Here is a 12,330-nt window from a genome sequence, read left to right on the forward strand (position 1 = left end):
TTGTGATGGCTAGGACTTCTAGCACAAAGGAGAGTGGTTAGAACAACCATTCTTAACTTTGTTTTCAATTTTAGGGAAACAACATTGCTTTGGTAAAATACATGGTCTTTTACCATTAAGTATGATATTCACTGTAGGTTTTTTGCAGACATTCTTTATCAAGTCAAGGAAGTTCCTCTCTATTTCTGGTTTGCTGAGAGTCTTTATTATAAATGGGTGTTGGGTTTTGTCAAATGGTTTTTCTGCATCTATTGATATCATCCTATGGTTTTATTTCTTTAGCCTGTTAATATGTTAGGTTACATTGATTGATTTGTAAAGAAACATCTTTGTATCCCTCCTGGACTAAACTTGACTTGGTTATGGTATATAATTCTTTTTTTTTTTTTTTTTTTTTTTGATATAGAGTTTTGCTCCATTACCCAAGCTGGAGTGCAGTGGTGTGATCTTGGCTCACTGCAACCTCTGTCTCCTGAGTTCAAGCGATTCTCCTGCCTTAGTCTCCTGAGTAACCGGGATTACAGACACCTGCCACCATGCCCGGCTAATTTTTGTATTTTTAATAGAGATGGGGTTTCGCTATGTTGGCCAGGCTGGTCTTGAACTCTTGACCTCAGGCGATCCACCCACCTTGGCCTCCTAAAGTGCTGGGATTGCAGGCATGAGCCACTGCACCCAGCCGGTTATAGTATATAATTCTTTTTATATATTGCTGACCTCTATTTGCTAATATTTTGTTAAGGATTTTTGCCTCCATAATCTTGAGAAATATCAGTCTGTAGTTTTCTTTCTTTGTACTTTGTAGCTGTATTTAGTCAGAGGAATAGATAGAAGTGTGTCTACTCCATCTTATCCAGAACCGGAGGTACTTAGGGAGCTTTTAAAAGATTCTGATATCCAGGCCATATGCCAGATTGACTAAATCAGAATCTTTGGAGGTGAGACCCTAGATGCTAGTATTGTTTTTAAGACTATATAGTATGGCTTTTTTTTTTTTTTTTTGAGATGAAGTCTCGCTCTGTTGCCCAGGTTGGAGTGCAGTGGCATGATCTTGGCTCACTGCAACCTCCGCCTCCCAGGTTCAAGTGATTCTCCAGCCTCAGCCTCCCAAGTAGCTGGGACTATAGGCGTGCACCACTGCGTCCGGCTAATTGCTTTGTATTTTTAGTAGAGACTGGAGTTCACCATGTTGGCCAGGCTGGTCTCGAACTCCTGACCTCAGGTGATCCACCTGCCTCAATGATGTAGTACTTCTAATGTGCAGCCATTTTTGAGAATCATTTTGAGAATCAGGAAGACTTTAATTCTTGAGAATCAAGAGACTTTTTGAGAATCAAGAAATTCCCACTGGGGCCTGTCGGGGGTTGTGGTCAGGGGAGGGAGAGCATCAGGAATAATAGCTAATGCCTGCTGGATTTAATACCTAGGTGATGGGTTGATAGATGCAGCAAACCACCATGGCACATGTTTACCTATGTAACAAACCATATCCTGCACATATACCCTGGAACTTAAAAATAAAAAAATAAATTTTGTGTGATGTGAATTCACATGGAATTGACATCAGCCAATCATTCACATCCATTTGAATGATTGACGGATAGTCCATTTGTATTCATTAGTATCTCAGCTGATAGTTTACAATAAGGTACTCAATGAAGGGACCACTTCTAGAGCAGTGGGCAGAGTCAAGGGAACCCACAAAAGATGGGGAGGCACTCAGGGACTAGCAATATCTGGAAGCTCTTACTACCCCTAGGTCTAAAGGGGCAGGATGGAATGGGGTTCCTGGAGTCTGGTGAGAGCTGTTATTGCGATGCCAGAACATGGCTATGAAGCAGGGAAGGAGAAGAGACGCACTGCAGCCTTTCCCTGTTCCTGTCATCTGATTTCCCACCCCTGTCTCCTATTTGCCCAAAGCTGGATGACATAGGAGTCTAAGAGATATTGTCCAGGTTGGCAGCACCCCCCAGAAGAGGAGAAGAGCCAGAGAAGAGCAAAAAGTGGATCTGGGGTGCAATGCACCTTTCCTAAATATCTGAATTTTAACCCAAACAGATTTTGAATGGGAGAAATAGAGGCCATGGAGATGGGCAGGTGGGAGGATATTCTGGCAGAGTGGCATTCTGAGTGGGGCTCAACTAACATGAAGCATGGTGTCCCGCCATCATCAAAGTGGGGCAATGTGCTCCCTAGACCAGCAGCAAGGCACCCCCTGGGCATTGTTAGAAATGTAAATTCTGGTGCATCAGACTGGGAGGAGGACCCAGTGATCTACATTTTGTTGTTGTTGTTGTTGTTTTAGAGACAGGGTTTCACTCTGTTGCCCAGGCTGGAGTGCAGTGGTGTGATCATAGCTCACTGCAGCCTCACACTCCTGGCCTCAAGCAATCCTCCCACCTCAGCCTCCCAAGTAGCTGGGACTATAGGCATGCCTTACCATGCCCAGCTAATTAATTTTTTAGCTTGAACTCCTGGCTTCAAGGGATCCTCCCACCTCAGCCTCCCAAAGCGTTGGGATTACAGGTGTGAGTCACCATGCCACCTGATCTGTGTTTTAACAAGCTCTCCTCACCCCACACCAGGTGTTGTTGAAGTGGGCTTGAGTTTGGGAACCTCTGGCCTAGAAATTTGCACATCAGCAAATATGGCAGGAAGCATTTTGAGAATGGAGGCAGTTGTCTTAGCCAGGTTGGTTAAGGGAGGGATGAAAGGAAGATATGGTTGTTCCACAATACGAAAAAATAAATACTGCTGGGGCCGGGCTCAGTGGCTCACACCTGTAATCCCAGCACTCTGGGAGGCTGAGGCGGGTGGATTACAAGGTCAGGATTACGAGACCAGCCTGGCTAACATGGTGAAACCCCGTCTCTACTAAAAAAAAACATAAAAAAATTAGCCAGGCATGGTGGTGGATGACTGTAATCCCAAGTAATTGGGAGGCTGAGGCAGGAGAATTGCTTGAACCCAGGAAGTGGAGGTTGCAGTGAGCTGAGATCACGCCACTGCACTCCAGCCTGGGTGACAGAGTGAGGCTCCATCTCAAATAAATAAATAAATAAATATATATATATAAATAAATACTGCTGATCCTTGAGCAACACAGGTTTGAAGTGTGAGGGTCCACCTATAACGGATTTCCTTCTGCCTCTGCCACCCCTGAGGCAACAGGATCAACCCTTCCTCTTCCTCCTCTTCCTCAGGCTAGTCAATGTGAAGATGATGAGGATGACAACCTTTATGATGATCCGCTCCCACTGAATGAACAGTAAATATATTTTTTCTTCCTTATGATTTTCTTTTCCTTTTTTTTTTTTGAGACAAGAGTCTCACTCTGCAGCCCAGGCTGGAGTGCAGTGGCATCATCTTGGCTCACTGCAACCCCTGCCTCCTGGGTCCAAGTGATTCTCATGCCTCAGCCTCCCGAGTAGCTGGGATTACAGGCACCCACCACCGCACCTGGCTGGCTAATTTTTGTATTTTTAGTAGAGATGGGTTTTGTCATGTTGCCCAGGCTGGTCTCAAACTCCTGGCCTCAAGTGATCTGCCTGCCTTGGTCTCCCAAAATGCTGGGATTACAGGCGTGAGCCACTGTGCCCTGCCTTCATTATGATTTTCTTAATAATATTTCCTTTTCTCGGCCCAGCACGGTGGCTCGCGCCTGTAATCCCAGCACTTTGAGGGGCCGAGGTAGGTGGATCATGAGGTCAGGAGATCGAGACCATCCTGGCTAACACAGTGAAACCCCGTCTCTACTAAAAATACAAAAAATTAGCCGGGCATGGTGGTGGGCGCCTGTAGTCCCAGCTACTCGGGAGGCTCAAGCAGGAGAATGGCATGAACCCAGGAGGCGGAGGTTGCAGTGAGCTGAGATCATGCCACTGCACTCCAGCCTGGGCGACAGAGCAAGACTCCGTCTCAAAAAAAAAAATTAAAAATTTCCTTTTCTCTAGCTTACTTTATTGTAAGAATACAGCCTATAATACATATGCCATGCGAAATATGTCTTAATTGCCTGTTCGTGTTTACCAGTAAGTCTTTCTGTAAATAGTAGGTTGTTAGTAGTTAAGTTTTGGAGGAGACAAACGTTATACTCTGATTTTCAACTGCATGGGGGGTTGGCACCCCAACTCTACCTTGTTCAAGGGTGAACTGTAACAATATGGAGAGAATTCCTTTCCTGCTCGCAGCCCTATGACCCCAGCTCACATGTCTAGTTATCTTTCGGCAGTGTCCTGATGCTCTGGGCCAGCTCATTGGCTGGCTCAGTGTTTTGCTGCAGAGCCCTTTAGAAATACATATTCCTTACTATGCAGCCATAAAAAAGAATGAGTTCATGTCCTTTGCAGGGACATGGATGAAGCTAGAAACCATCATTCTCAGCAAACTAACACAGGAAGAGAAAACCATTAAGTTCTCACTCATAAGTAGGAGTTGAACAATGAGAACACATGGACACAGGAAGGGGAACATCACGCACCAGGGCCTTTCAGGGGGTGGGGGGCAAGGGGAGGGAGAGCATTAGGCCAATACCTAATGCATGATGCATGCAGAGCTTAAAACCTAGATGATGGGTTGATAGGCTGAGCAAACCATGATGGCACATGTATACCTATGTAACAAACCTGCACATTCTGCACATGTATCCCAGAATTTAAGTAAAAAAAAAAAAAAGAAAGAAAAAAGAAATACAGATTCCTGGGCCCCTTCTCAGAATATGTGAGCCTGGGGCCTGGCCAGGCATCTGCATATTCAGAGTATTTCCTGGTGTTTCTTATGTGGGGCTTGGTTGGAACAGCAGCTAGCTAGATGCAATATGGGAGTCAACACGTGTGGTTGATTATCTCCTCTGGGCCAGGAATCTCAAAATACATCTTTTTTTTTTTTTTTTCTTTTTTTTTTTTTTTTGACATGGGTCTCGCTCAGTCACTCAGGCTGGAGTGCAGTGTTGCAATCTTGGCTCACTGCAACCTCCACCTCCCGGGCTCAAGTGATCCTCCCGCCTTAGCCTCCTAAGTAGCTGGGACTGCAGGTGCCTGCCACTGCTCCCAGCTAATTTTTGTACTTTTTGTAGAGACAGGATTTCACTATGTTGCCTAGACTGGTCTTGAACTCCTGAGCTCAGGCATCCCACCCACCTTGGCCTCCCAAAGTGCTGGGATTATAGGTGTGAGCCACCGTACCCAGCCACAATAGGCATCCTTTTATTTTATCTTCAAACAACCCTATGAGTGGATGCTGCTGCTCCCAGTTGGAAACAGAAGAGGCCAAGGAAGAGGGAAGGGCTGACTTGCTTAAGGTCACATAACTGGCAGAGAATGGATTGAGGTTTTCAACCCAGGCCTCCCAGATCCACTTTGCAATGCATTGTTCTGGCTACTGGCTCCTCTGCCCCCACCCCTTTTCCCTACTGCCTGCCTGGCTGAAAGATGTTTGTCCTGTTCTGTCAAACTCAGGCCCTCTGCTCTCTTGAAACAAGCAATTGACAGGAAGACAGTCTTCCTCGGAGGGTCATAACTACACAGCAAGAAGCAAAGTGGCCCCTCAGGAATATGCTCTGTTCACGGGGAACTTTCCTTCTTATGAATTCTGCTATTAGCACTTTAAGGGAGTTTTACTCTGGGGGGAGATTTGTTATGAAGCAGATCTTCCCTGGAATAGATCTTCTTCCCCTACGCTGCCACGTTGCTGGGAGAGTACACGCTACTCCTCGGCTATTTGTCTTCCCTGGCTCGGCTCTCCTCCTCTGTCTGGGGCCCCACATGCTCTTTCCATGGAGTCACCAGTCTGCAGGTTGAACAAAGAACTGCTGCAGACAGAGCAGAAACAGGAGCAGGGTGCCAGGGGGACGTGTCTTCAACTTGGGATGGGCAAAAGGGGCCCGAGGTTCTCCCTCGCTAATCAACCCTGGCCATAACCCCATCTCCTCCTCTCATTCCTCTTTCTGTTTCCTAGGACTTAGTGAAGGTGGGGCAGGGGAGGCTGGGGAGGAAAAGCAGGGGGAGAGAAGGAGGAGATATTAAACAGCTTCGGCTAGGAGCTGTCTCTCCTCCATTCCCACCTGGACCTGCCAGTCACTCCTTTCCATCCCCACAAGCTCCCTTTGTGCTCCCTGTCCATGTCACCGGACTTAGACACAGACTCTCAGATACCAGCAGTGTGACCTACAATTCAGTTCAATTCTGACACTCACTACCTGGAGTCAGCACAGAACCCCCAAATAAAGGGCTCAGCCCATGTGACTGCCCCCATGTCAGACATCAGCTGCAAGTCTTGGGCACCCCCAGGTGACTCCTACTTCTGCCTGGTCAGATACAAATTTAAGGTTCCCACAACTCCTTCTTAGGGTTGATAATTTGCTAAAATGGCTGTGGAACTCAGGAATGTGCTATGCTTATGATTACAGTTTTATAATGAAAGATACAGCTCAGGAACAGCCAAATGGAAGAGATGCAGAGGCAAGGGAGGGGGCATAGAACTTCTGTGCCTTCTCCTGCAGTGCCGTCTTCCTAGCGCGTGGGATGTTCACTAAGCTGGAAGCTCCCTGAGCCTCGTAGTTCCTGAGTTTTTATTTGGGGCTCCATTCTGTAGGCATGTGATATGGTTTGGCTCTGTCCCCACCCAAATCTCATCTCGAATTGTAGTTCCTATAATTCCCTTGTGTTGTGGGAGGGACCCAGTGGGAGATAACTGAATTATGGGGGCAGTTTCCCCCATACTGTTGTCATGGTAGCAATTAAGTCTTGCAAGATCTGATTTTTTTTTTTTTTTTTTTTTTTTTGAGATGGAGTTTCACTTTTGGTCCCCAGGCTGGAGTGCAATGGTGTGATCTCAGCTCACTGCAACCTCTGCCTCCCAGGTTGAAGCGATTCTCCTGCCTCAACCTCCTGAGTAGCTGGGATTACAGGTGCCTGCCATCACACCCAGCTAATTTTTGTAATTTTAGTAGAGATGGGGTTTCACTGTGTTGGCCAGGCTGGTCTCGAACTCCTGACCTCAGGCAATCCACCGGCCTCAGCCTCCCAAAGTGCTGGGATTACAGGCATGAGCCACCATGCCCAGCCCAATATGATGGTTTTATAAGGGGAAACCCCTTTCACTTGGCTGTTACCCTTCTCTTGTCTATTGCCATGTAAGACATGCCTTTCACCTTCTGCCATGATTGCAAGGCCTTCCCAGCCACGTGGAACTCTGAGTCCATTAAACTTCTTGCTTTTGTAAACTGCCCAGTCTTGGGTATGTCTTTTTCAGCAGCATGAAAACAAACTTATATAGCATGATTGATTACATAATAGGCCACATTATTGAACTCAATCCCCAGTCCCTCACCTCTCCCCAGAGGTGAGGAGTAAGGCTGAAAGTTCCAACCCTTTAATCTCGTCTGGGCTGGAGTGCAGTGGTGAGATCTCAGCTCACTGCAGCCTCCGCCTCCTGGGTTCAAGTGATTCTCCTGCATCAGCCTCCTGAGTAGCTGGGACTATAGGGGTGTGCCATCATGCCCAGCTAATTTTTGTATTTTTAGTAGAGACAGGGTTTCACCAAGTTGGCCATGATGGTCTTGATCTCTTGACCTTGTGATCCGCCCACCTTGGCCTCCCAAAGTGCTGAGATTGCAGGCATGAGCCAGTGTGCCTGGCCAATTCTGAGGGCTTTTGAAGCCTTGTTCCAGCAACTAGGAACAAAGACCAAACACATATTTGATTATACCATAGTCAGGTATCACATTCTTTCTTGTGTCATGGTAATTTGGTTCAGGCGTGATTGTCCCCATTAGAACATTCATCTTCGTTGTCACTGTCTTCATATCATCACCACTGTCACTGCAGCCACCATTTGTGAAGGCCCACTATGTGCAGGTGCTTCTGTGTGGGGCTTTGCAGACACTGCCATTTAATCCCTAAAGTGGCCTTGTGAGGTGGGAATTAAACTCATTTCATGGATAGGGAAATTGAGGAACAATTACTTCACCAGCCACCTTGCCTGGCCTCTCAGGTGTGTTTTTGTTGTTTGTTTGTTTTTTGCCAATTCTGGGTTCATGCAAGAGGCTGATTAATTCAGGCTTTGCTGCTGGAGACAGAGAAACTGAAAGTCTGATTTCTCCACCTGTATTTACAAAGCCCATTTCTTTTCCAGTCAAAGGGGAAGTGAGCAGGCTTGGGATACTGCCCAGTGACTAGCACACAGTGGGCTGTGATCAGCAAATCCTGGAGTTAAAATCCATGCCTGCCAGTGTCTGTTTGCAAGAGCCTTCCATTTCTTTTTTAATTCCTTTTTTTTTTTTTTTTTTTTGAGACAGGGTCTTGCTCTGTTGCCCACGCTGGATAGCAGTGGCATGATCATAGCTTACTGCAGCCTTGAAATCCTGGGCTTAAGTGATCCTCCAGCCTCAGCCTCCTGAGTAGCTGGGACTACAGGTAAGTGCCAGCATATCTAGCTAATTTTATTTTATTTTATTTTTGTAGAGACAGGGTCTCCATGTGTTGCCCAGGCTGGTCTTGAACTTGTAATCTCAAGCAGTCCTCCCCCCTCAGCCTCCCAAATTGTGGAGGATTACAGGTGTGAGCCACTGCCCCCAGCTGACCTTCCATTTCTGTTAGATTTCTCTTCACTCCAAACTTTGGAGCTTTTTTTTTTTTTTTTTTTCTGGAAAAAAGTGCTGCATGATCCGATTTTTTTTAAAGTTAAAATGTATTAAAGATTCATGTTGTTTAGAGGAGTATTTTGAGAATTTCACAACATCCCCGGGAGATAATTGGTGTCTCTCCAGGGAATTGCCGGGCGAAGGCTGGGAATGATGGCATAAATCATTTGAACGCCAACAGCAGTTTTAATTAAGTTTTTCTAGAATCAGATGCTTATTTCACTGAAAAATGCTGGGTTTTGTTGACAAGTGACACATAACATTTCATTCTCCAGAGATTTTTTTGTCATCGGAAAACTTCCTCGTGGAGACCTGGTCTTCACATTAATTAATCGACCAATCAATCAGGGACTGGTTCTTGGCCCATAGGGGATTCAGAGAGGGCAGGAGTTGGCCTCAACCTCCAGGAGAGGTAGGAAGTGGTTGGCTTCCCATTTGCTTGAGGCCTTTGGAGAGGCTGGTGCTGTGCTAGATTTTTATAGAAGTAATCTCTTTATTCACTTCTCTCACTCCTCACCTCTGCCTGGGGAGGGAGGTACTATTGCCTTCATTATCTGGATGAGGATGACTGAGGCTCCGGAATCCTTGGAAATTAGGGTGCTGGTTGAGTGTGATGGCTCATACCTGTAATTCCAGTAGTTTGGGAGGTCAAGGCAGGAAGATTGCTTGAGCCCAGGAATCTGAGACCAGCCTGGGCAACGTAGCAAGTCCTCATCTCTTAAAAAAAAACAAAAAAACAAATTAGCCAGCGTGGTGGTGCATTCCTGCAGTCCCAGCTACTCAGGAGGCTGAGGCGGGAGGATCACTTGAGCCCAGGAGGTGGAGGCTGCCGTGAGCTATGTATGATCATACCACTGCACTCCAGTCTGGGTGACAGAGTGAGATCCTGTCTCAAAAACAAACAAAAAAAAGAAATGAAAATTAGAATGCTTTTACACAGCTTGTAAACAGCAAGGCAGGTACCAAACCCTCTTCTTCTTCCTTATTGGGAGCACACTTTCTCCATAATCCCACAGGCCCTCTGGGTCCCTTACGGGGCTTCCAGTCCAATTGGCATGTAAGACCCCAACACAGCAGAAACAGTCATGGCCCCGGATTATCACTGGACCCCAGAGTGGAGGGGAAGGAAAGCCCCAGGTTAAATTGGGAACAGACTACTGGTATAAGGAGGGGAAGGAAATGAGGCGGCGCAGCCACCTTTGCTGGAAACACACTGGAGAGGGAGTGTAGACGTGTAGGTTCTATTCCCACTTCAGCCATGACCTTGGCATGGACCTTAGCTGGACACCTCCTCATCTCAGGACCTCTAAACTGGGATTGGCCACCAAGTATCCTCTTCATGGCAGAGGCTGTGAGTCTGTGATTCTAGAGGTTCACCCATTAGTACCACCGATCTCACTGGAGACCCTACAACACAACCAGTCTCCAGACATATCTGGGGCCACTTGCTTGTGTGGTGTGGCCCTGACATCTTACTCTGTTCCGTCTGTTTGCAATTTGAACAGGGCTGTTTTGGACACCATCTATGATTTTAAACAGCTCCTCAAGTGATCTCAGTGCATACCCAGCATTGAAGGCTCTTGGTTACAGGCCCGCCTCCTGGACCAATCACTGTTGAGAGGGGATGGAGTATTGTGATTGGCTAGGTTTGGGTCATATGTTCACCATTAAGCCTCACTCATGGACCCTCTAGTTTGGATGGGCAGTGGTCTTGGTGGTAAGGATGGGGGTCCCACCAAAAACGTGGAGAAAGAGAGAAGAATAGTTCTCCCAAAGGAAACAGGGTTACTGGATCCTCTAGTGAGTGGCTGGTTCAAGGGACCCAAGAAAATCGATTATGAAGCCAGAACCAGGACCTCCATCCCCTCCCGGTGGTCCTCGGCACTTTCTCTGGGCCATGTGCCCAGTGGAAGACTCTAAGGTTTGGAGCAGAGGCTGATCTAAGAAAGAGGCCACCCCAGCCTGCTTGTCTCACAGGCATTTAGAGACAACGGTCCAGGTATTACTCTGGGTGCCGTAGGTCATGAAACACAGCCTTGTGCATCTATGATTTTAAACAGCTCCCCAAGTGATCTCAATGCATCACAACATAGCAAGACCTCATTTCTAGAAAAAATAAAATAAAACAAATTAGCTAGGTGCAGTGGTTCTGGCTTCATCATTGAATTTCTTGGGTCCCTTGAACCAGCCACTCACTAGAGGACCCAGTAACTCTGTTTCCTTTGGGAGAACTGTTCTCCCTTTCTTCATGGTTTTGGTGGGACCCCCATCCTTACCACCAATACCGCTGCCCATCCAAACTAGAGGGTCCATGAGTGAGGCTTAATGGTGAACATGTGACCCAAACCTAGCCAATCATAATACTCCATCCCCTCTCAACAGTGATTGGTCTAGGGGGTGGGTGTGTAACCAAGAAGAGCCAATCAGAGTGCCTCCCTCAGGCTGAGCCGAGAAAACTGCTCTGTTTATTCTTTGTGTGTTTGCTTTGCTTTTTTTTCATTGTTTGTCAGGAGTTGTTAATCTGGGAGGCAGTGAGTACAAGGTGTTGGCAGTCATCTACTTGGATGAATGGAAAAAGTCAGTCTATATAGTGGGAGAGAAAGAAGCCAACACACAAAGGCATACGGGGGGGGGGGGAGAGAGAGAGAGAGAGAGCGAGCGAGCGAGAGAGAGAGAGAGAGAGAGAGAGAGGAGAGAGAGAGAGAGAGACCATTATTTGAGGGACTGTCTATCCTTGTAGCTAGTGGCAACCTTTCATGCACCTGCCCTGTGGAATGAAGTTGCCTCTAGCTTCTGTCACCTGACCCAGGAGAAGCCCTCGTCTTACCCTCACTCTCCTTGCCCTGATCCTTGGCCCCTGCTCTGTCTCCCCACTAAGGGGTTGCTAGACATTTTCTGTTGGCCCTTCCAGCAAAGATAGTCCATGATTCTGGATAGCTTAGGCTGCCCTGACTCAAAGCTGAAAAACTGCAGCTCTAGCCCCCAACCGTGTATAGCAAAAGTGCTGATAACGTAACAGCTTTGCAAGTAAATCCAGAGCTTCTGTTTCCAAGGGAGGGCTGAGGAGGGCTGTGTGTGCCGTTGTTGGGGGGCGGCGGGTAGGTGAGCGAGGCAAATTACTTTTGTTCTCTGCAGAGCCTGAGCTGGGCTTTGAAGAGGTTTTTCTGCCTCCCTGGTGCTCTGCAGATTTGGGGAATCTTCCAGCAGGGTCGGCTTCCAGGCGGGCGACAGTTAGATTCAAATCACTTCTGCTCCCCAGCTCAGCACTTGGGCCCAGGTACCTGCTGGATTCAGAGCACAGCCGCTCCTTTCTCCAGGAAATCTCTGCTTAGCACAGCCAGGGCCTTTACTGTTGTCATTAGGAGGCATAAAATCCTAATTTATATTGCTAGAAGGGTAATTTATACACTAATGTAAATTTCTTTTACTGCTGATTTTTGAGCAACTGATGTGTGATTATTTCCAGCTCTCTTTCCAATGCAATTCTGAAACGACGGCTGCTAATACCTTAATATTCTTTATGATTGCCAGAGATGATATTTTTCCCGGATCAAATGTATCCAGTGGGGTTTGACATAATTGGGTTAAAGATTTCTCTTTCTGAGGCTGTAAGACTTGTTAGGCTTATGTGGGTTGGTGGGGGATGATGGCTAAGGCCTTCTGTTTGTGTTTTGTTGTCCTCTCAGTCT

The 12,330-nt window shown here is 46.9% G+C and overlaps 2 annotated features.

Annotated features, from left to right (window-relative positions):
• Positions 10,813–11,314: an enhancer, noted in NCBI's record as "H3K4me1 hESC enhancer chr7:66903113-66903614 (GRCh37/hg19 assembly coordinates)". NCBI's record gives its function as "activates a minimal SCP1, AML or CMV promoter by ChIP-STARR-seq in naive H9 embryonic stem cells {active_cell/tissue: H9 hESC(naive)}" and the evidence as "EXISTENCE:reporter gene assay evidence [ECO:0000049][PMID:30033119]".
• Positions 11,315–11,814: an enhancer, noted in NCBI's record as "H3K4me1 hESC enhancer chr7:66903615-66904114 (GRCh37/hg19 assembly coordinates)". NCBI's record gives its function as "activates a minimal SCP1, AML or CMV promoter by ChIP-STARR-seq in naive H9 embryonic stem cells {active_cell/tissue: H9 hESC(naive)}" and the evidence as "EXISTENCE:reporter gene assay evidence [ECO:0000049][PMID:30033119]".

Source organism: Homo sapiens, chromosome 7 (genome assembly GCF_000001405.40).
Source record: "Homo sapiens chromosome 7, GRCh38.p14 Primary Assembly".
Taxonomy (NCBI): domain Eukaryota; kingdom Metazoa; phylum Chordata; class Mammalia; order Primates; family Hominidae; genus Homo; species Homo sapiens.